Source organism: Homo sapiens, chromosome 12 (assembly GCF_000001405.40).
Source record: "Homo sapiens chromosome 12, GRCh38.p14 Primary Assembly".
In the NCBI taxonomy this organism is placed as follows: domain Eukaryota; kingdom Metazoa; phylum Chordata; class Mammalia; order Primates; family Hominidae; genus Homo; species Homo sapiens.
The window spans coordinates 102,349,157-102,373,129 of record NC_000012.12 but is presented as its reverse complement, the minus strand read 5'-3'; the positions used below and the strand labels follow the sequence as shown (position 1 = coordinate 102,373,129).

Sequence of the window (23,973 nt, the reverse complement as noted above, 5' to 3'; positions counted from 1 at the left end):
GTCTCTTAAGAAAGCAACAGGAGTATTCAGAGCCTTTATCTGAAAGACGAACAGTTACTCTGAGGGCATAGTTGAGCCCACTTCATGGAGTGGTAGTAAAGCATCCCTTCCCTCAACACCATGGGTGTACAAACCAGATTCAATCTTGTTTTCTAACACCACCATTTATTGAGGCCTAAACAGAAATATGAGCCCGTAGGAGCCACCTCTTGCATTGTCTCTTCACCATCTACAAAATTGAAACCAAACTCCCCAACATGGCATGGAAAACTCTGCATGAACTTTTTACATCTCCATTATAATTTGTAGCAGGTCTCCAAGTGCCTGCTTTGCCTTCTTGAATCTGATGCTCTCGTTCTGTGGTCCTCAAATTGGGTGCAGTGGTTCCATGCATTAAAATCACTGGGGGAGCTTTAAAAATGGAGATGCCCAGGCTATATCCCAAACCTCTTAAATGGGAACCTTGGAGGATAAGATCAGGCCTCAGTATTTTCTAAAGCTCCCTGATGATTATAATGTACCAAAGTAGAGAACAACTGCTTTATTTTCAGTTTAAAGAATCACTGAGGGGGTTAGTTATGAATAAACGTTGTCAGGCTGCACCCCAAGATTACAAATCAGTAAGTATGAGGTTAAGATCTTGAAATGTGTATTTCTAATAGGCTACCCAAGGAATTATGGATGAAGATGGCATGAGGACTACACTTGGAAAAAACACTGCTCTTGGCCCACTGGGTGACTCAGTCCAAGTTGCCGGAGTAAATCAAGCACTCTCACTCTCCTTGGATTTGTTTCGGCTTTGCTCTCTGCTTGGAAGGCCCTCCCCTCTCCCTGACCTCTGAGAGAACTTTTGATTACCTTCCAAATGTAAACTCTTCTCTGTGACTTTTCCTGACCCTTCCCAGGAGGAATTAATCACACTCTCGTCTGAGTTTCCATAGCACTTTGTACATGCTTCTGCTAAAGCATTTATCACACAATATTATGGCTGTTTCTTTATGTGTCTGTCACACCCTTTAAACTGTTCTTTCCTTTTTTCATCTTGCCAGCACCTAGCACAGTGCCTGGGACATAACTCAAGTCAGTAAATGTTTATTGAATTAAATGAAGTTGTTTGTGGAGTTGATCACCATATCAGATGTCCATCTACAAGTGGCAAGACTGCAGACACTGGAATGGGGCACAGGAAAGAGCCTAGTGCCAGAAAGGAGGGTTGGTCATAATGAGGCAGGGTAAGAGAACTGCCCGCCCCAGGATGAGGACTAGGGCATGACTCCTCCAACACAGAGGGTATGCAGAACAGATTCAGGTTTGTTTTCTAACACCAGCAAGGACAGGGGAAATATGTAAGATGGTAATTTAAAGTTCAAAATGGACATGAAGCAAAACTTAAGGCACAGGGATGTAGTAGATGATTATAAGAATAACTGGGGCACTTAATATTTAAATTAAAATAAAACAGACTCCTGAGCCAAAACCCAGACCTACAATCAAAATCTCCATTAGACATGCTGCGAATCTGAACATTTAACAACAGCCCCAGGTGATTCTTATCATCAGTCCAGTTTGTAAAACATGGTGTGTATTAGTCTGTTCTCATGCTGCTAATAAAGACATACACGAGATGGGGTAATTTATCATGGAAAGTTAATTGATTTACCTTTCCACATGGCTAGGGAGGCCTCAAATCATGGCTGAAGATGAATGAGGAGCTAAGTCACACCTTATGTGGTGGCAGGCAAGAGAGAGTGTGTGCAGGGGAATTCCCCTTTATAAAACCACCAGATCTCATGAGACTTATTCATTATTACAAGAACAGTATGGGAAAGACCCGTCCCCATGATTCAATTACCTCCCACTGGGTCCCTCCCATAACACATGGAGTTTATGAGAGCTACAATTCAAGATGAGATCTGGGTGGGGACACAGCCAAACCATATCATCCCATGATCCCACTTGGGTGGGGACTCCATGGTCCCCACCCAAATCTCATCTTGAATTGTAGCTCCCATAATCCCCACATGTCGTGGGAGGGACTATGGTAGGAGGTAATTGAATCATGGGAGCAGTTACCCTCATGCTGTTCTCATGATAGTAAGTGAGTTCTCACAAGATCTGATGGTTTTATTAGGGGCTTTTCCCCCTTTTTGCTGGGAACTTCTCCTTGCCACCACCATGTGAAGAAGGATGTGTTTGCTTTCCCTTCCACCATGATTATAAATTTCTTGAGGCCTCCTCAGCCATGTTGAATTGGGAGTCAATTAAACCTCTTTCCTTTATAAATTACCCAGTTCTGGGTATGTCTTTATTAGCAGCATGAGAACAAACTAATACAGTAAATTGGTACCACAGAGAGTGGAGTGCTGCTGTAAAGATACCCAAAAATGTGGAAGTGATTTTAGAACTGGGTAACAGGCAAAGATTGAAACTATTCGGAAGGCTCAGAAAAAGACAGAAAAAATGTAGGAAAGTTTGGAACTTCCTAGAAACTTGGAGGGCTAAGAAAACAGGAAGATGTGGGAAAGTCTGAAACTTCCTGGAGGCTTGTTGAATGGCTTTGACCAAAATGCTGATAGTGATATGGACAACAAAGTCCAGGGTGATCTCAGATGGAGATGAGAAAATTCTTGGGAACTACAGCAAAGGTAACTGTTCTTATGCTTTAGCAAAGAGACTGGCAGCATTTTGCCACTGCCCTAGACATCTGTGAAACTTTGAACTTGAAAGAGAGGGCTTAGGGTATCTGGCAGAAGAAATTTCTAAGTGGCAAAACATTCGAGAGAAAGCACAGCATAAAAGTTTGGAAAATTTGCAGGCTGACAATACGATAGAAAAGAAAAACCCATTTTCTGGGGAGAAATTCAAGCCTGCTGGAGAAATTTGCCTAAGTAACAAGGTGCAGAACGTTAATCACCAAGATAACGGGGAAAATGTCTCCAGGGTATGTCCAAGACCTTTGCAAAGGCCCCTCCCTTCACAGGCCTGGAAGCCTAGGAGGGAAAAATAGTTTCATGGGCCAGGCTCAGGGCCCCCCTCCTCTGTGCAGCCTTGGGACATGGTGTCCTGTGTCACAGCAGCTTCAGCTCCAGCCATGGCTAAAAGGGACCAAGGTACAGCTTGGATCATGGCTTCATAAAGTGCAAGCTCCAAGCCTTGGCAGCTTCCATATGGTGTTGAGCCTGCAGGTGCACAGAAGTCAAGAATTGAGGTTTGGAAATCTCTGCCTAGATTTCTGAGGATGTATGGAAATACCTGCATGTCCAGGCAGAAGTTTGCTGCAGGGGCAGAGCCCTCAGGGAGAACCTCTGCTAGGGCAGGCAGAAGGGAAATGTGAGGTCAGAGCCCCAACACAGAGTCCCCAATGGGGCACTGCCTAGTGGAGCTGTGAAAAGACAGCCACCATCCTCCAGACCCCAAAATTGTAGATCCACCAACAGCTTGCACCATGCACCTAGAAAAGCAACAGACACTCAATGCCAGCTGTGAAGGCAGCAGGGAGGGGGGCTATACCCTGCAAAGCCACAGAGGCAGAGCTGCCCAAGGCTGTGGGAGCCCACCTGTGCAACAGCATGCCCTGGATGTGAGACATGGAGTCAAAGGATATCGTTTTGGAACTTTAAGATTTAATGACTGCCCTATTGGATTTCAGACTTGCATGGGGCCTGTAGCCCCTTTTTTCTGGCCAATTTCTCCCATTTGGAATGGGTGTATTTAGCCAATGCCTGTACCCCCACTGTATCTGAGAAGTAACTAACTTGTTTTTGATTTTACGGGCTCACAGGTGGAAGGAACTTGCCTTGTCTCAGATGAGACTTTGGACTTGGACTTTTGAGTTAATGCTGGAATGAGGTAAGACTTTGGGGGACTGTTGGAAGGGCATGATTGTGTTTTGAAATGTGAAGCCATGAGATTTGGTAGGGGCCAGGGTGGAATAATAGGGTTTGGTTGTGTCCCCATCTTGAATTGAGTTCCCATATCCTCATCTTGAATGTCCTCATCTTGAATTGAGTTCCCATAATCCCCATGTGTCATAGGAGGGACCCAGTAGGAGGTAATTGAATCATAGGGGCAGTTACCCCCAAGCTGTTCTCGTGATAGTGAGTGAGTTCTCATGAGATCTGATAATTTTATAAGGGGATTTTCCCCCTTTTTGTTGGGCACTTCTTCTTGTTACCACCATGTGAAAAAGGATGTGTTTGCTTCTCCTTCCACTATGATTGTACATTTCCTAAGACCTTCCCAGACATGCTGAACTGTGAGTCAATTAAACATTTTTCCTTTATAAATTACCCAGTCCTGGGTATGTCTTTATTAACAGCATGAGAATGGACTAATACATGGGGCTAAGCCAACATCAGGAAGTACTGGGAAGAGGCAGAAAAGGTTCTTAATGCAGAGGAAACCCAGCATCCTCAGGCACCTAATGATCTGTCCTGGTGGTACTAAGTCCCAGGTGTGATTGGAAGTGAGGGAAGTTGTAAGTTTGTGGGACAGTGGCCAAGGGTCATTCCTGGTTCCCAGGAGGCCACTTCTGACTTTTAGAGAGCCTTAATAGTGAGCTGCACCAGCTGCATTGCAGGTCTTCCTATCTATCCTACCTCCATGAAGCCTGGAGCTGAGGCAGGGATGAGTACAAGATGAGGCATATTATGCAGAGAGGGTCTGGAAGCTGAGAAATGAAGCCAGCACTAACGGAGTGGGTGAGAAAATAAACTAGAACACAAAGAAAATCCAGTCCTGTCTCTCTCAAGCTACAACAGTGTAAAGTTGTCATTCCAGTCAACTGGATAAGTTGTCATTACCCAGGAAAGGCGGGGGGGTTGTAGGTGTTTCATTACCTGGAGTTAGCCAAAGTGGGAACAATCTCCCAGACTGCCCTAAGTTTTGACACTAACTGCGAGTTTGGGGAAGTCCCTAAACTACCTCAGATTTGATAATTATTTAGAAAGATTCATAGAACTCACTGAAAACTATTATACTCACAGCTACGATTTATTACAGAAAAGGATTAGGACCAGCGAAAAGAAAAGACACACAGAATAGAGTTTAGGATTCCAAATGAGAAGCTTCTATTGTCCTCAGTACAAATTATCTTTCCAGCATTGATGTTTAACAATACAGAGTATTACCATCTTGGGGAACTCAGCTCAGTGTCCAGAGTTTTTATTGGGGTTTTATGATATAGGCATGATTGATTGATTCATTAATTATCAATCAATTGATTGCTCACATGGTTGTACCCTGTCTTCAGCTGCACTCCTGCTTTCTTGGATGTTGGGGGTCAGGCTGGAAGAGGCCTGAGTGGTGGCAGGGAAGGTAGGCCTGGTCTTTGCTATCTTAGGAATGGAGTTAATTCTTACAGAACCAAAACTGGATTTTCCTTGTAGTCACATTGCATAGTCATAGGATCAATCTAAGAACAGATTAGAACTAGCACAGCTGTCCTGAAAGTTTGGAATGGAGGTAAAAACATCAAATATATATACACATGGTGACTATATTTCAGTGAAAAAAAATCAATTAGGACTCAATAAAAAATATCAATTAATTCTTGTAGAAAAAAGCATCCATTATGTGCCCAGTACTATTCTAGGCATCAAACCATAACTAGAAGAATACTATAGAAACATGAGATACAATCAAGGATGCAAGAATTTACAATCTAATTGAGGAAGATAATTCAGACAAATGAAATAATAGGCAGAGGTTTTCAAATAGAATGGAGTGGGGCATGTCAAGCTCTCTAATACTGATGATTACTGATGAAGAAATGTGTTGATGATGGGAATGTGTGAACTTATAACTACATGAAGGCAGAAGAGTGTCTGAAGCCCTGAAGGAATAATGTGTAACAGCATATAATTAAGGGCTTAGATGTGAGATATAAGCTATACATGTGAAAGGAGCTCAAGGAGAAGACCAGCAAGGCCTGAAAAAAAAGCAGGAGTTTCCAGACAAACCTTGAAGCAGCAATGATTTGAAGCAGAATGATTTGGACAGAACAAGTGGAAAAAGAAGGCCACCTCAACTGCCCTGCTGGATAGTAAAGAGCTAACTCCATACTATATCTATTTCACTAGAACCAGCCATCTGAGCAGCAGCCTGTACATTCTGATAATGAAAGTACGAAGCAGAAGCTTTAGAATAGCCTTCAAAAGCTGATACACAGAAGCAAATGGCATATTCATCAGGATACTGGGCAATAACAAATATACAAGGCCCCTTCCCACCATCTGCATGAAGCAGCTGCTGAATAATCAAAATATACCACTTAGAGAAGAAAATGTTAAACAAAAAATGGGAAAGAGGGAGAGAGGTCTGTTGCTAGCTGGAAAAGGAAACAAGGGTAACCAGCAGGGAGGGTTGGGGGCACTTATTGAAGAATAGGGATCAACATAAAAGCATCCCCAGAACAGCGGAAGTCATTGGCACAATTCTGAATGACCAAAGAACTTGGAAGACAGCAAAGGTCCCTGAGCAATTTCAAAAACTCTCTAAAATAGCTTCTATTTTACTCCTTACTAATTTATTCAAAATGTTAAGGTTCCAAACATCTCAGTCTGATTTCCAAGGCTTTCTAGAATCTGTTAACAAATCTTTCCTCTGTCATAAATTAATTAAATCATGTATTCAACAAATACTTGAGCAACTCTACAGTTCTAGGCTCTGAGGATTCAACAACCAACAAAAAGTCTCTCTCTTCGTGGAGATTATATCCCACTGGAGAGGGACAGATAAGAAACACATACATGTCTAATATGTAATACAGTTACCAGTTCTAACATGGAAACTAAATCATGGATAAGGGGAAGAGAGAGAACATGGGGTAGTGCTGTTTATATAGGGTGCGAAGGGAAGGTTTCACTAACAAGAGCATTTGAGCAGAGAGCCAAATGAAGTGAGGGATTAAGCCATCTGGATATGTTGGGGGAAACATTCCAGGTGGAGGGAACAGCTAGAGCAAATCCTTGAGGCTGAAATGAGCTTTACCCATAGGCTTAAACATGGCAGGCAATTGGATAAGTGGAATGAGATAGAGTGAGAGAGGTAGGCAAGTGCCAATTTACATAGTATTTTGTAAGCCTCAATAAATTCAAATAAGTTTGGATTTTATTCTGGTTGCAGAAGAAAATCTTTGGAGGGTTTGCTTTATGATTTTATGTGCTCAGTAACAGAACTGGTTAAATAAAAATATGTCCTGCTCTTTTCATGTCTTCTCTCAAAGCATGGCTTCCCTGGTAAAAAGACCATAGTGAAAATTTATTATTTCCACCCTCAACTACTCATCTACGTTCCTTTTATTTTCTCTTCAAATGGCCACTGTTTCTATTGTGAAGTGACCCAAAACTTGACTCCTGAGGGATCTGAGTTTTCAGTGGTTCCTGCCTATATAGAATTGCTATATCTTCCCTTAACTTACCACCAGACAGGGGAATCCTAAAAGGTTCCTTTAGATTCATTTATATTCCTCTCTGATCCCACTGTGTATCAAAATATGTATCAGAAATCTTTGCTAACAGGATCAGTCACCCCAGCCAATACTATGACCCATATTTTCCCTGCCAAGTAGTAAAAGGAGCCTGAAATAGCAGGATGGCAGTATCTGTTGCTTCCTGTGGTTAAAGCATTTCTCCTCCAACTACTAAAATCCTATACATTTATTGTCCAGAGTCACAGGTGTAATATTAATGTGATCATGAGAAATGGCATTCCCATTTCCTTACCTTGGTCCCTGGATTTATCTTTTCAGCAAGAGCCTTCATCATGTATCAAACACAGGAAAACACGTCTCACCTCCAAAATGGTACCCCAACCTTTCAAGATTTCAACTTCAAGTTGGCATCATAACTGAGTCTTACCTCAGTCATTCCACTGTTTTGTAAAGCCAGTTGCTTCCAGGACAGAGAGTTTATAAGAACATGAATTTTCATGTGTGTCAGCCTGTTGGCTTCCTCTCCCAAAAAAGTTTCTTGGTGAGAAGCAACATTGGGTGGGATACTGTGATAGTGAACAAGGAATCTAGATTATCTACAAATCATAGCTTTGGCAGAAGCAAGGTGGGGGAGGAAAGGAAAGTAAATCCAAATCCAAATAGTGCTTATTTTAGTTACGGTATAGTGCTTCCTCCTCCCCAAAAGAAGGAGTTAAATATGGCTCACCAGCCACCATGTGACTGACCAGTATCCTTGGAATGGTATCAGATGGCAGTGTCAGTGTTTGTCACCAGAGCTGGCAAATTGATGATGTCAAGAAACCCTTGGTGAAGGGAAGCTCACATAGTTAAGCTAGGATGTCACTTTCTGCCACCATGGCCACTTGACTAACAAGTCCACTGAGCACCATTGACAAAGCTGAGGACAAAGCCCTTCAAAGGGTAGATTACATTAATCACCTAATAATTGTGGGGAACCACAATGTTACATGGAACTCAAATATTGTAGATTCATTATGAGGGCACATCAGATTAAAGTACACCTGGACACGTCGGAATGTATGGTTTTGTAATCAGAAAACATTGTTCAGAATTTCAATTTTGTAACTATTTTTAATTACAGAAACAAATTTGTAATGATCTACCAAAAAATTATATTGAGTAGCTCAAAAAATCTCTAGGAAAGTCAGCAAATCAGGCTTCGATGCTATACATTAAGGGATCATGTTCAAAATCATGCTACAAAACCCTAGTTGATAAAGACACCACTGTTACCACTACTAAGTGGGTGTGATGATCCACACTCCCATGACTGGGAATTGCTAATTGCCCTGCAGCCATTGCTGTCCCTTGAAATTTGAAGTAATGCTGTTGCTGCCACTCATCACTTCAATAGATCTATGTGATCCTTGAAGTTCTGCATCCATCCCTGTTTTGTCTTTGTGTTTGTGTTTATTTGTATTACTGGAAGGCTTTTTTCTCCAACAGTAAAGTCTAGAGAGATAACATAGAGTTTATAACATAAAACAAAGGAAAGGAGAAAATGAGTGATAAACTAAGAGCAGCTTTTCTATTCTAAAAGAAATTAACCATTGGATGGGAGAACAATCTCAGGAATCTTGACTGGTGTTGATATAAGGTAGGTCACTTGGAAATAAAAAGCACCCTGTCTCCTTCATAGGGTCAAAAGCCCAAAGAGTTCAGTGAAAGAAACCTAGGGTATGTTCAGAGAAACCTAAGGACTGAAGGAATCATTACCTGGTTTCCCAGTTTGTGGCTTGGGAGACTGCAAAACTTGCATGGGAGACTTCAATCCAAAATGAAGATGAAGTAGCAATGACTGAGAAACATGTAACAGTGAAAGTCTAGTCAGAAAAACAGAAACCAACTGAGGCATTTTAAGCAGAAAGAATTTAATACAGGGAATTGGTTACATAAATGATGAAAGAGCTAAACAGCCAAAAGTGGTCACCACCTCTAGAGCTGGAAGGACAAAGAGAGAATACAGCATTACCAGAACCAGAAACTAAAGCCATTTGGTGAGAGTTAAAACCATGGCAGGGATCACTCCATAGGAGCTGGAAACACAAAGAATGGGGTTAACCAATAAGAGCTAAAATTTCATAAACAAACAAAAGTAGCCACTGCTGGAAGCCTCATTTAAAGCAAAAAGGAGGAGAAATGCTCTGGTTCATCTGCTCTGCAGTGCCTCTCATTAGCCAAACCTACCTGAAAACCAGTTGGTAATGGAACCTGGGAAACATAGCTCCCTGCAACAGAGATGGCATTAGCTCTCCAAAGGGTCCAGCAGAAGGCACAGGAGTCTCTCTATGTTGCCCATAAACACTATTGAACTCAACTATCTGATTCAGAGCAGGCTTCAGCACGAATACTGCAAGCCTGGGGTTGCCATGGTCAGGCTGGACGTACTCTGTCTCAGGTCTCATGGCTGGAACACAAGTCATCATTGCGGAGTCACACATGTGTGATATCTAGTGATTATTTCATAACCTGTGACTAAAGCAGCAATGAACACTGATGCCACCATGACCACACTAGGTTCAGGGGTGATGAGATTGAAGGTCATGGAAGAACCTAACTGTGTCATCTTTTTGTACTTGTGGGTCCTAAGAATCTACACTCAGTGAATGTCTCCTATTTTATATCATCCCTAGCCTTTGGTGAGACTTCTTTCCTTTAAGTTGACCTCAGCAAGGTATAACTTGCTATATTAGTCAGCGTTCTCTAGAGGGACAGAAGTAATAGGATAGACATATATACAGAGGGGAGTTTATTAAGTAGTATTAACTTACACAATCACAAGGTCCCACAACAGGCCATGTGCAAGTTGAGGAGCAAGGAAGCCAGTCCAAGTCCCAAAGCTGAAGAACTTTGAGACCAAAGTTCGAAGGCAGGCAGCATCCAGCATGGGAGAAAGATGTAGGCTGGGAGGCTAAGCCATTCTAATCTTTTCACGTTCTTCTGCCTGCTTTTTATTCTGGCCAGACTGGCAGCTGATTAGATTGTGCCCACTCAGATTAAGGGTGGGTCTGCCTTTCCCAGTCCACTGATCAAATGTTAATCTCCTTTGGCAGCACCCTCACAGACACACCTAGGAACAAAACTCTGCATCCTTCAATCCAATCAAGTTGACACTCAGTATTAACCATCATATTCACCTAAAACATGTGTACTGGTCATGCCCATTTTCACCAATTCTCATACCCAGTCCTCTGTTGGACTAATGAAGAGGCTAGCAGCTTAAGCTGTCAGGCAGCCAGACTTTCAAGAAAACATTTGAAGCTGGGAGATGAAAGAAACAATGGACAATTCATTGCACATACTAGTTTGGTTATTTAGGAGAAACTTTGTCTCTGGAGCCAAGTCCTTGAGACCTTCACACAAAATTGGCTTGCTTTCTTCTGGGGAAAGATCCCCTAGGATTATTTGGGCAAAGAAGACATACTAGGCACTCAGCATCCTGAGAGAAGGGTGCCATATGTAACCTTAGTACTTCTCAAATCTACTGGGTCATGAGTTTATACAACTTCTCTATAAGAAGGAGGTGGTACCCCATTTACAGATGAAGAAACTGAAATTTAGGTGATTAAGGCAATTTCCTAAGGACATACAGCTAATGAGTGGTAATACAGTTTGAATGGGTCCCCAGAAGTTTATATGTTAGAAACTTAATTCCCAATGCAACAGTGTTAAGAGATGAGACTTTTAAGAGGTAATTAGGTCTTGAGGGCTCTACTCTCATGAATGGATTAATGCTACTGCGATGGCAGCATTAATCCATTCATGAGAATAGAGGTTATATTAGAGGTTGCTAATTTTTTATTTAAAAAAATTAGCCCTCTCCTCTCCTTTCTTCTCCTTCTTCTCCTTCCTTCCTTCGTCGTTTTCTTCTGCTCCGTCCTCCTCCTCCTCCTCTTCTTCTTCTTCTTCTGCTTCTTCTTTTCTTCTTCTGTTTCTGCTTCTTCTTCCTTCTTCCTTCTTCTTCCTCTCTCTTTCTCTCTCTCTCTCCCACCTGTGTGATGCTTCCTGCCATTTTATAACACAGCAAGAAGGCCCTCACCAGGTGTGGCCTCTCAGTCTTGGACTTCTCAGCCTCCAGAAATGTAAGCCAAATAAATTTCTATTCATTATAAGGGATCTAGTCTGTGCTATTCTGTTATTGCAGCACAAAACAAAACCAAGACAAGTAGCGGACCCAAGTTTGAGGTAACAGCATCCAAGACTATCCTTCTAGAAAACATTTAGGAATCCCTCCCTCCAAAGAATGGAGAAAGGAGGTAAGTCAAGGAATTCTTAGGGTCTAATAACCCAAATTGGACAAATTAAAGTATCCTAAGGCTGAATTAGATCTGATTCCATTGGGATTCATAAAGATTACAAGGGAAAAATAGGCAGGCATTCAAGACATTGCATTGTCATAGGATTCTGGAGCCTTGTCTAACATCAATTATTTCCCAAACTCTTCTTTTATTTGCTTTGGATTATCAGTGACCCTCTAGTATAGCCTAGACAATGGAAATATTGCAGCAAATTACACAATGCCATTACATGGTGAAAGGAACCTACTTAGGTTGATGGATTTACCAATCAGTGTTCCCTATGATTCACCTTATCTGAGGGTTGGAAGAGGGAAAAGAGGAAATTGCTCTTCTTCCCACTTGCTTTCCAGCACAATATACCTCTCCTGCCCCTTCTCCCTACCCCAGCTCACATCTGACTACCTTCCTCTGGAGTGGTCTCTCTCATACATTATTTGTTGGGCAGGAACTCTAGGCAAGGCACTTTCCCACCTGGGAGGGAATTTTAGGGTGTTAGCTTTCCAGAAGTGGAGTGGAAGGCCATGCTACTGGTAAGCCCAGCTCAAGTTCAATGCTTCCTATTGCACACACTCACTTATTCTATAAAACAATACTTGTAAAGCATGAGACAATCCCTTCCGGCCATGGCCTGTCACTGCAATTCCCATCATTATGCTAGTCTTTCTGTCAGGGCTTCTCTGTCAGTCTCCTGGCTTGGGGACTCTGAGGTTCTCTCTCTTTTCAGAGAGTTTGTTTCATCTCCACATTCTAGCATCAAGTTAAACTATTGTTTTATGAGAAGTGTTAGAACAGAGAAAGGAAGGGGGGAAGTTAGGGCTGGTCTTGCTCTCTGGGTCCCAAGAGAAACCTGGTTCTTTCCTGTTATCTATCTTCTCCCTTCAGCCCATAACCTAGGTCTTTTTAGAGGATGTCCTTTTTCCTGTCTCTGGATTAAACAACTGGGATCTCTGACTTTTGGTCCTGAGGGCTTTATCTGTAGCTCTGCATTTATTCTGTATCCTCTTTGATCTCATCCCTCTTCCTGCCTCAGTTTTTCTCCCTTTCATACCCCATCCCCATTCCCCAAGCTTGATTTTCCTGACTCTACCTTTTCGTGTTCCCTGATCTCTCAGGTTATTGTCCCAGGAACTCAACCATCATGATCTTTTCTACAAATAACTTTGGCACTACCTGCTCACATCTGACACAACTATAGGTCCTGGCCTCTTCCTCCATCCTAGACAATGCTATTTTCCTTGAAAAGTCTTGTTCACAGCTTCACAATGCACAGCTGCATTTCAAAGCAATAGTTATTGGTTCCTACTATGCCAGCAAAATACTTAAGGCTACACTTTTTTCTATTTTAACAAAACATTTTTAACCAATCATAACTACTTTTTTCAGATCTTAGTGCATTCTTTCCTAGAGAGAACACTGGAAAACATACACAGCAAATCAGAATATTCCTGCAAATATGTGTGTATGAAATGTTTCGGTGTAATGTTAAAGTTGATATGTTTCTAAGAACAAGTTTTTCTCCTTTCCTCTCTTCAGTGTCATAAAACCTTAAAACGCCACCAAAAACCTCCATAATCTATTGGGAAATTGTTCCTCACATATTCCTGCTTTTATTTACCATACACATAGGCAAGTCCATTAAAAGGAAAATTTATGTTGTTCAGTGTCAAAAGCCAAAAGGAAAAAATGTATTTCAGAATGAAAAAGAAGCAAGCAACTACAAAGTCAAAAAATTCTGGAAAAACTTCAAGGAATGATGTAGTAGGACAAGCGAGAGATAATTGAGGCAGAGAAAACTGATTTTTTGTAGATGGATTTCTTAAGCCAGAGAAACTCTGCTAACATCAGTTCCCACATGCGCCACAAAACTCAAACTACAATTTAAAGCTACTCTAAGGAAATTTAGGTACCAAAAAGCAAGATATTTCATGGACTCATAGTTTCAGAGCTGGGAGGGACTTGAAAGATCAGTTATCCAAACCATTAAACTGCAAAAAGATAGACTTGTATAAAGTGAGTGCTGGTACTGGATAATGGAATGACAGCTAACATTAATCACAGAAAACTTACAAACTGACATGTGCTTTCTGTACATTATCTTATTTCACCTTACAATAGCTCTAGGAGGTCAGTATTACTATTATACCTATTTTTCAGATGAGGAAATTGAGACCCAGATGGATCAAGTAACACATTCAAGTTTTCACAGGTAGAAAGCAGCAGGGCTGATGTACCTATGGTGACAGCCTGACTGCAGAGACCTCTTAACTACCAAACTGTATAATCATCACAAGAATTTGGTCAATTCAAACCTCTGGTTAAACCTCTCCGGTAATGAAAGCAAATACATTTAGGAAGGACTTTTTGGCTTTCTGGCTGGATGGTTCCTGTATGAGTTAGCACAATCTAGTTTGTGCTACATTAACAAACAATCCCCAAATCTCTATGACTTATAACAGAGGTTTATTTATTTCTCGCTCATGGTACTTTGGGTTGGTAGTGAGTTTGTCTTCACATTGTCATCACTCAGGACTCAGGCTTGCAGACCTGCATCCTCTGGAATGTTGTTGGTCACCATGGCTGGAGGAAGGGAAGATGTCTCCTCCGCTGAACCTAAAGGCTTCTACCTGAAGAGACGTACATCAATTCTGCTCACATTTCATTGGCCAAAGCAAGTTACATGGCCACACCTAATTTCAAGGATTTGGGGAATTGTGGTCTAATATGAGGATCACTTGCTAATACATTATATGGCTTGAGAACACTGCAGGAAGAGAAAGTCTGGAAATATTGATAAATAGTTCTAATGACTGCTTTAGTACCAAATTCACAAAATTGTCCTGTGAGCTCACTTGACTCTAGTGGTGTTGACTAGCCCTAATAAGAGTTTGGATGTTGTCCCCACCCAAACCTTATATTCAAATGTAATCCCCAGTATTGGAGGTAGGGCTTGCTGGGAGGTGATTGGCTCATAGGGGTGGATTTCTTATGAATGGTTTAGTAACATCCCCTTGGTATTGTCCTCACGATAGTGGGTGAGTTCTCATGATATCTGGGTCATTTAAAAGTGTGTAACACCTCTCCTCTCTTTCTCTTGTTCCTGCTTTCACCATGTGCCATGATTGGAAGCTTCTTGAAGCCTCCTGAGAAGCAGATGCCACTATGCAGCCTGCAGTTCCTGTACAGCCTGCAGAACTGTGAGCCAATCAAACTTATTTTTTTGTAAATTACCCTGTCTCATTATTTCTTTATAGCAATGTAAGAATGGCCTAATACAAGCTCTAACTCTGTAATGTGAATTTGTTTGTGTACTTTGGATTTATTTGTGTACTTAATGAACAAGCCGAATTCCAAATTATTTGCTACCTCTGTGGCTCTTTTTAACCACTGAATACACTTTCCTTCAAGTGTAAAATTACATAGGCAACACTTCAGACAAAATTGCTAAAAGGAAGACTTAAATAAAATCCCATATTCCAACTCATAAGCAGAAAAATTGAGATTCTGTGACATGAGATAGCATATGCAGAAATTCCTAGCATATTGCCTGGCACAGAACAAGCACTCAATAATTGTTAGCTTCCTTAAACATTTCAGACTCCAATTAATCTTTCTCCAAGAGACACATCTATCTCAATAACTGCCAAAGATTGTTGAAGTCTAGCAACACTTCTGGCTCTAATACTGATTACCAGACACATGGCATACTATGAAATTACAAAGACAAAAATGAATGACCTTGGAGGGGGTTGTCCCAAAGCTCTTCCCCAGAGAGAAAATGGTGAAGATAAGTTAGTTCTCCGAGCCAGTAATTTTCACGTGAGTTGAACTTTCTAGAGCATGGCTCTTTCTAATTAACTAGAACAGTTTTCAAACACTTTTGACACATGCTGGTCCTCATTGCCACCCTCTTTGTCATGCGATGACACATTTGTACAGAATACTGGACGCAAAGGCAGGTGAAGGGCAATAAAGGTTGTTTTCTCAAGAAGAAAAAGCAAAACCACAATTGGCACAATGGAATTTTCCTGTTAATTGCAGGAAAGATAGACTTGGGTGTCCAAAGGCAAAATGCAGGAAACCCCACACAAAAGTGAACCTTGGTAACCAGAATTGTAGATCTTGGGGGAAACCCATGGTATGAGAGCAATTCCCTTTGAGAATTTAGAAAACAAACAAGGGCAGTGCCAATCGCATAATTCTGTTCATTCCTTTTCTGATTAAAACCAGGATCAAAGGAATACCAGTCTACTAGAAAAAAAAGAGGATATTTTTTACTGGCCTCACCCATGATGAAGACACTTTGATGATGGAAGATCCCCCTAACTTTATTCTACCTTACTTGACCCCAGATATGAATACCTACAAGTGAAACCTTGCTTCTTCATTTTGCAATATGAAGAAATGCTTGCTGGGGGAACTTTCTAGCCGGATACCCTTGAATGCACTTCCTGATGAAGTGGGAGATGCGCCAGCTGCCACTACAGATGCTGAAAGAACTGGGAACAAGTGAAGCTGATTGTAATAATATGTTGCACAAGACTGAAGGAGCTATGGTGATGGAGAGCCCCAGTACAGTGTGGAGGTACCATCCAGCTAAACAAAGGCCAAGGCAAAATTTGGCCCATTCCTCTAGCACAACTATGAGGATTACTTGCTAATATATTACATGACATGAGAGCGCTGCAAAGTATCTCTTAAAAAGAAAAAGAAATAGTAGCATCAGGGAGAAACTGAAAGGTTTTTGTTCCTAGGAATTATAATTGGCAATTTAAGTAGATTGTATAGGCTGTGATTTCAGAGACATGGAGAAGGCTCTCAGCCAAGAAATATATCATTTTACTACTTGCAAATGCTATCATTTCCATCAATAGAGATATATTTAAGTCCTGTCCTGTTGTTAAAATAAAAGTTTAGGGCTTAGTAAATCAGCGTCAAATCATTTATACCTGACTATGAATTAATTAGTATATTACCGTCCTAGCCCAGAGATTTGTTGACATATCCCAGCAGCAAAATGGGGGAGAAAGAAAAATAAAAGAGTGTTTCATGTTTGAAGGAGATGTTACAGCATACAGGAACAGATTACTTTAGACTTCAAAAGCAGAGGGGTGGGAATGAGGTTTCTGGGGATATAATACAAAGAGGAAGACAGATAGTGAAGGCAAAGGTAAAGTTAAATTTTATTCCTTCATTTGAATGTTTTTGTTTGTTCAATAAATTGATTGATTGATTGATTGAGCCATTTGCAAAACACTGGATTTTTTAAGGCTAAGAGATACTAACATTTTAGGCCAAAGATGAAGACTTAATAATTAGTATTGTTTTTTTCTTTTCACTACTTGTAACTGCCTTTTCACTGCCTAGAATACCACCAGGCACATGTCAGATAATAAATATTTTTTTCATGACTGGATAAGTGAATGAATAAAACTAAAGCTCTAAAAGCAAATAAACAGTGTTTCCTTCAAAGTTATCACATGGGAGATTGTGTACTTTTTCCAATCATTTCTTTATTGCTCAAAACATATCCAGACACTCTTCTATGAACCACCAAGGCAAGCGACAAAGTCCATTTAAAATCATCAGTGGTACTGACATGGTTTGGCTGTATCCCCACCCAAAACTCATCTTGAATTATAGTTCTCATAATCTCCACATGTCATGGGAGGAATCCAGTGGGAGGTATTGAATTATGGGGGCAGTTTCTCCCATGATATTCTGATGATAGTGATTAAGTTCTTATGAGATCTGATAGTTTTATAAGGAGCTTCCCCCTTTTTGTCACTCTCATTCTTCTCCTTCCTGCTGCCATGTGAAGGACGTGTTTGCTTCCCCTTCTGCCATGATTATAAGTTTCCTGAGGCCTCCCCACCCCTATGGAACTGTGAGTCAATTCAACCTCTTCATTATAAATTATCGAGTCCTGGGTATGTCCTTATTACAGACTAATATAGTAAATTGGTACCACAGAGAGTGTGGCACTGCTGTAAAGATATCCCAAAATGTGGAAGTGATTTTGGAACTGGGTAACAGGAAGAAATTGGAATCATTGAGAAGGGTCAGAAAAGGACAGGAAAATGTGGGAAAGTTTGGAACTTCCTGGAGACTTAAAGGGCTCAGAAGACAGAAAGATGTGGGAAAGTTTGGAACTTCCTAGAGACTTGTTAAATGGCTTTGACCAAAATGCTGACAGTGATAAGGACAATGAAGTCCAGGATGAGATTGTCTCAGATAGAGATGAGAAACTTCTTGGGTGCTGGAACAAAGGTGACTCTTGCTATGCTTTAGCAAAGAGACTGCCTTAGAGATATGTGGAACTTTGAACTTGAAAGCAATGGCTTAGGGTATCAGGTGGAAAAAATTTCTAAGTGGCAAAGCATTCAAGAGGAAGCAGAGCATAAAAGTCTGAAAAATTTGCAGGCTGACGATGCTACAGAAAAGAAAACCCCATTTTCTGGGGAGAAATTCAAGCCTGCTGCAGAGATTTGCCTAAATAACAAGTAGCAGAATGTTAACCACTAAGACAATGGGAAAAATATCTCCAGGACATGTCAGAGACCTTCATGGCAGCCCCTTCCATCACAGACCTGGAGGCCTAGGAGGGAAAAATGCTTTAGTGGATCAGGCCCAGGGCCCTCCTGTTCAGGACATGGTGGCCTGCATTCCCACTGCTTCGGCTCCAGTCATGTCTAAGAGGGGCCAATGCACAGCTTGAGTCATTGCTTCAGAGGATGCAAGCCCAAGCCCTAGCAGCTTCTACATGGTCTTGGCCCTGTGTATGTGCAGGAGATAAGAACTGAGGTTTGGGAACCTACGCCTACATTTCAGAGGGTGTATGGAAATGCCTGAATGTCCAGGCAGAAGTTTGCTACAGGGGTGGAGCCCTCATGGAGAACCTCTGCTAGGGCAGTGTAGAAGGGAAATGTAGGGTTGGAGCCCCCACACACAGTCCCCACTGGGGCACTGCCTAGTGGAGCTGTGAAAAGAGGGTCACTGTTCTCCAGACCCTAGAATGGTAGATCCACTGACAGCTTGCACTGTGCACCTGGAAAAGCCAAAGGCACTCAATGCCAACCCATGAAAGCAGCCAGGAAGGGGGCTGTACCGTGAAAAGCCATAGGGGCAGAGCTCTTCAAGGCCATGGGAGTCCATCTCTTGCATCAGCGTAACCTCGATGTGAGACATGGAGTCAAAGGAAATCATTTTGGAGCTTTAAGATTTAATGACTGCCCTATTGGATTTCAGACTTGTATGGAGACAGTGGCCCCTTTGTCTTGGCCAATTTCTCCCATTTGGAAAGGGGGTATTTGCCAACATCTGTAGCCCCATTGTATCTAGGAAATAACTAACTTGCTTTTGATTTTGCAGCCTCATAGGTAGAAGGGACTTGCCTTGTCTCAGATGAGCCTTTGGACTTGGACTTTTGAGTTAATGCTGGAATGAGGTAAGACTTTGGGGGACTGTTGGAAGGGCATTGAATTGTAGTTCCCGTAATTCCCACATGCCATGGGAGGGATCCAGTGGGAGGTAACTGAATCATGGGGGAGGTTTCCCCTGTGCTATTCTCATGACAGTGAGTGAGTTCTTACGAGTATGAGATTTAATGGTTTTATAAGGAGCTTCCCCCTTTGCTTGGCTCTCATTCTTCTCTTTCCTGCTGCCATGTGAAGAAGGACATGTTTGCTTCCCCTTCTGCCATGATTGTAAGTTTCCTGAGGCCTCCCTAGCCCTGCAATTGTGAGTCAATTAAGCATCTGTCCTTTATGAATCACCCAGTCTCATGTATATCCTTATAGCAGCAGGAGAATGGACTAATATGGGTACCAAGTCATATTCCTCGGTGACGTATTTTTTTTTTATTTTTCTTGTTGTCACAAGTCCAACAACAGGTGAACTTTCAAGCAAGTCCTATTTTTTAACAAAAAATGAGATATAGTTTTATGAAAAGGTAGACTAACTTTCTTGTGGCATGACCAAATCTAAAAGGGAATCCCAATCACTCCAAGAAAGCTCTAAGAAATTGTTGGGCTGATTGGCTAGCCCTCCCAAGAGGCTACCTTGAAAGATAATTCTTATTTAAATATTTAAATTTTGGATTATTTGCTATTAAACAACAAATGAACAAAAACATATTGTATTCAAAACCTACTCTATGTTTCCTTCTATTATTCATTAAGTACATCATTTTAAAAAGATAAGATTTTACAAGTATATACTCCAGTAGGGCAGGACAATGATGTATACTTTGTTTGCATCACCTCATCTCATCACTCAGCCAAGATGTAGCTTAGGTAATAACTATTACATGTATACAGTAAGGAATCCTACACATATATCTCCACCTCTGACCTATCCCCTGAACCCTAGATTTATATTTTCAACTGTCTACTAAACTCCCACTTGGATGTATAATACTTATCTCAAACTCAACAAATCTAAACAAAATTTTGCATGCCCTAGTTTTCTCCCTCTCAGTTAATGGTTCCACCATTCCCCAGTTGCTTAAGCCAGAAATCTAGGAATCAGTTTTGATTCTATTCATTCCTTTAATCCCCAGACACTATCTATTAGAAAATCTTGTGAGTTCTAGCTCCAAAATATTTCTAACCTCTCTACCACTCCCATCCTAATCCAAGCCGAGGATAACTGGGCCAGTACAATAGCTTCCTAAATGGCCCTTTCTACTTTCATTCTTGCCTATAAATCTTATCTCATCAACCAGACTGATCTTTCAAAAATATCAACCAGGCAATCTAAACCCTCTAAGACATCCCATTACATAAAAATCTAACCTTATTGCCATGGGGGCAGAACCCTTTGACATGGCCTCAGCCTCCTCCTCTTCCAACAACTCTACTGCTTACTTGCTCTGCTCCAGCCCCTCTGCACTGTTCACTGTTCGCAGAACCACTAAGCTTACCATGGATTCAGCCCCTTACACTTTGCCTTCCTTCTGCCTAAAATTCCCTTCCCCCAAACCTTCACAAGTCTGATTCCTTCTCATCACCAGGACTCTGTTCAAATGCTATCTTCTATCTAAAATCTCCACACTCTAGCCACTCTCTATTCCCCAACCCTGCTTTATGTTACTCATATGACTAACCATATCTGAAATTGTTATTTTGTTGTTGGTTTACTGTCTGTCTCCCCTACATCTCAAACACGAGTGCCACGAAGTAGGAATTTTGCTTAGCTTGTTCACTGCTAGAGTTTAGAACACACTTGGCACATAGCAGGCACAAGATAAATATCTGTTGAATGAATGATTAAATCAGTATTCAATAAACCATACAAATTGCATGATAGTTGTATTAGCCAGAGTTCTCCAGAGAAATAGCACCAACAGAAGATGGATGGATGGATAGATAGATAGATAGATAGATAGATAGATAGACAGATAGATAGATATAAGAGGATATTTATTGCAGGCATTGGCTCATGAAATTACAGAGGCTAAGAAGTCCCATGATATGCCATCTACAAGTGGGAGACCCAGGAAATCCAGTGGCAGAAGTCAATCCAAGCATGAAGGCCTGAGATCAGAGGAAATGATGGTATAACTCCAAGTCCAAGGCCATAAAACTGAGAACCTTGTGGTGAGTGGGGGCATTGTTTTAAGTCTTGAAGTCCAAAAGCCCAAGAAATAAGAACTCTAAGACCCAAGGGCAGGAGGAGTTGGACGTCCCAGCTCAAGAAAAGAGATTAAATTCACCTTGCCCCACCTTTTTTTTTCTATTTGGCTCTCAATGGATTGGACGATGCTCACCCACATTGGCAAGAGTGTATCTTCTTTTCTCAGTCTGATGATTCAAATGGTAGTGTCTTCCAGAAATACTCTCACAGGCACACCCAGGACAAATGTTCTACCAGCTATCTGGGCGTTGCTTAGGCCAGTCAAGTTGACACATAAAATTAACCAACGAAGTAATTCTAACAAAGATTTATAACCAGATTACACTCTTCTGAAGCTAAAGAACTGCTAATGGAGATAGCAGTCATCAGTTACTGTGATAGTTAATGTTGAGTGTCAACTTGATTGGATTGAAAAATGTGAAGTATTGTTTCTGGGTGTGTCAGTGAGGGTGCTGCCAAAAGAGATTAACATTTGAGTTAGTGGACTAAGAAAGGCAGACCCACTCTCAATCTGGGTGGGCACCATCTAATCGGCTGCCAACATGGCTAGGATAAAAGCAGGCAGAGGAATGTGGAAGGACTAAACTGGCAGAATCTTCTGGCCTCCATCTTTCCCCTGTGCTGGATGCTTCCTGCCCTCAAACATCGGACTCCCAAGTTCTTCAGCTTTTGGACTCTTGGACTTACATCACTGATTTGCCAGGGGCTCTGAGGCCTTTGGCCACAGGCTGAAGGCTGCACTATCAGCTTCCCTACTTTTAAAGTTTTGGGACTTGGAATTGCTTCCTGGCTCCTCAGCTTGCAGACAGCCTATTGTGGGACTTCACCTTATGATCATGTGAGTCAATACTCCTTAATAAACTCTTAATAAACTTTCATATATTAACCTATCCTATTAGTTCTGTCCCTTTAGAGAACCCTAATACAGTTACATAGACAAACCATTGGATTTAAAACTAATGTGTTCACACAGGCCTGGCTAGGTTACTAGTTGTGAACCTATATTAAGTGTTAGCTGGTAAAGGGATCTTAACAGGGTGTCACACTAGTTTCAGGATCTTTGAGTACTAGATAAAATGCCTCCTTGGGCAGGTGGAAGATGACTGAAATAAAAAAATGTGCATATATCATCCTGGTCAGTCCTCACAAGGTGCAGAAAATGACCAATGCTGGCATTGATTGACTGTCCTTCTTTGCTTCTCTCTCCTTTTAAGAGTGTGGAGTCTATTGGAAAAGAAGCATTAAATGAATTCACAGCATTATCTTACCAAATCCCTGTAATTATTTTAAGTATGTGGCATAATCTGTGCACAGCCAGTGATTAAGCCATGCCACAATTAAAACAATACCATGAAATAATTACAAAAGAGCTAGACAGACTGTGCTATCTCTCTGCTTGGTGTCCAAATGTTACACAGAAGAATGTAATTCTACTCTGCAGAGACCATTAAAATCTTCCAACGTATTTTTAAATCCCTGGCTGTCTGAGGGTGAGTGAGGTCAGGGAAGGCTGGGTGACAACAAAGAGTGGGGAAGAATCTTGAATGAAGCTTGGGCTATTTAGATAAGCCTTTCATCACAAGAGAGAAAATAACTAAAAATAATTCTTGAGAAAATACATTTTTTTCTCTTTATAAAAATGGATTTCTGTCTAATCAGAAATCCAGATAGCTTGGCTGGACTACAGGACCTATCTAGAAGACAGAAAGACCTGGCTAATATTTCTCCATTTAGACTGAAGCTACAATTATTCTCCTAGTCAGAGCAGATGAAGGAAAGGAGAAAAAATCCAAAGGCTAATGTTAAATTCATTATTTTACACAGTTATCCACACAAGCCCAATGGCATGAATAAACAGTTTATGTGTATGCATCTCTATGTTAACAATACTTTTGCAGGTTGCTTTCATTGATACTATCATTGTTTTTATTTCCAACTAATGACAAGAGAGGCAGCCCATAAATACAGGTTAAACCACAAAGGAAGGTATCTGGCACAAAAAATTTGCCCCAGATCAGTGGAAAACAGCTATGAAATAAGTAATTCCAACTGATTCTTTTATTTGAGTCCAAGGCTACCTGGACAAAACCATACAAATGGAATCATCTTGTGGCATTATATGAGGGAATGAGAGAATTTGATTTGGTGGAAAGTGTCAGGGCTTACCTTAGTTCAGCTGGTCCTAAACCAGTAGCATTTGCATTGCTTGGGGACTTCCTAGGAATGCAACTTCTGGAATCTGAACTTAAACCTACTGACTCAGGAACTCTGGGGGTGGGGGCCCAGAAATAATGTGTCTTAGGAAGCCTTCCAGGTGATTCTGATGCCCACTCAAGCTGGAGAGCCATAGCCTTTGAGTCTCTTCACTCTTTCATAGAGAATTATAAGGATCCAAACATGCCATCACCTGGGTGTTCCAGGCTTCTCCTTTGGCTCTAATCCCAGCCTTCTCATATGCTAGGCGTGTGAGTAGAAACAGAAATAAACTGCCAGCTAAACTCCTCTCTACCCCTGAGGGGAAGGTTATAGGTAGACCCATCTGCAAAACCAAATCAGAGAAGCTAGAAT

At 41.3% G+C, this 23,973-nt stretch overlaps 1 long non-coding RNA gene across 1 annotated transcript in view; it reads right to left on the bottom strand.

The window, feature by feature from the left end:
* Positions 1–23,973, bottom strand: part of LINC02456 (long intergenic non-protein coding RNA 2456) — a 432,422-nt gene that overhangs the window by 338,866 nt on the left and 69,583 nt on the right. The gene's annotated exons all lie outside the window — the stretch shown is intronic.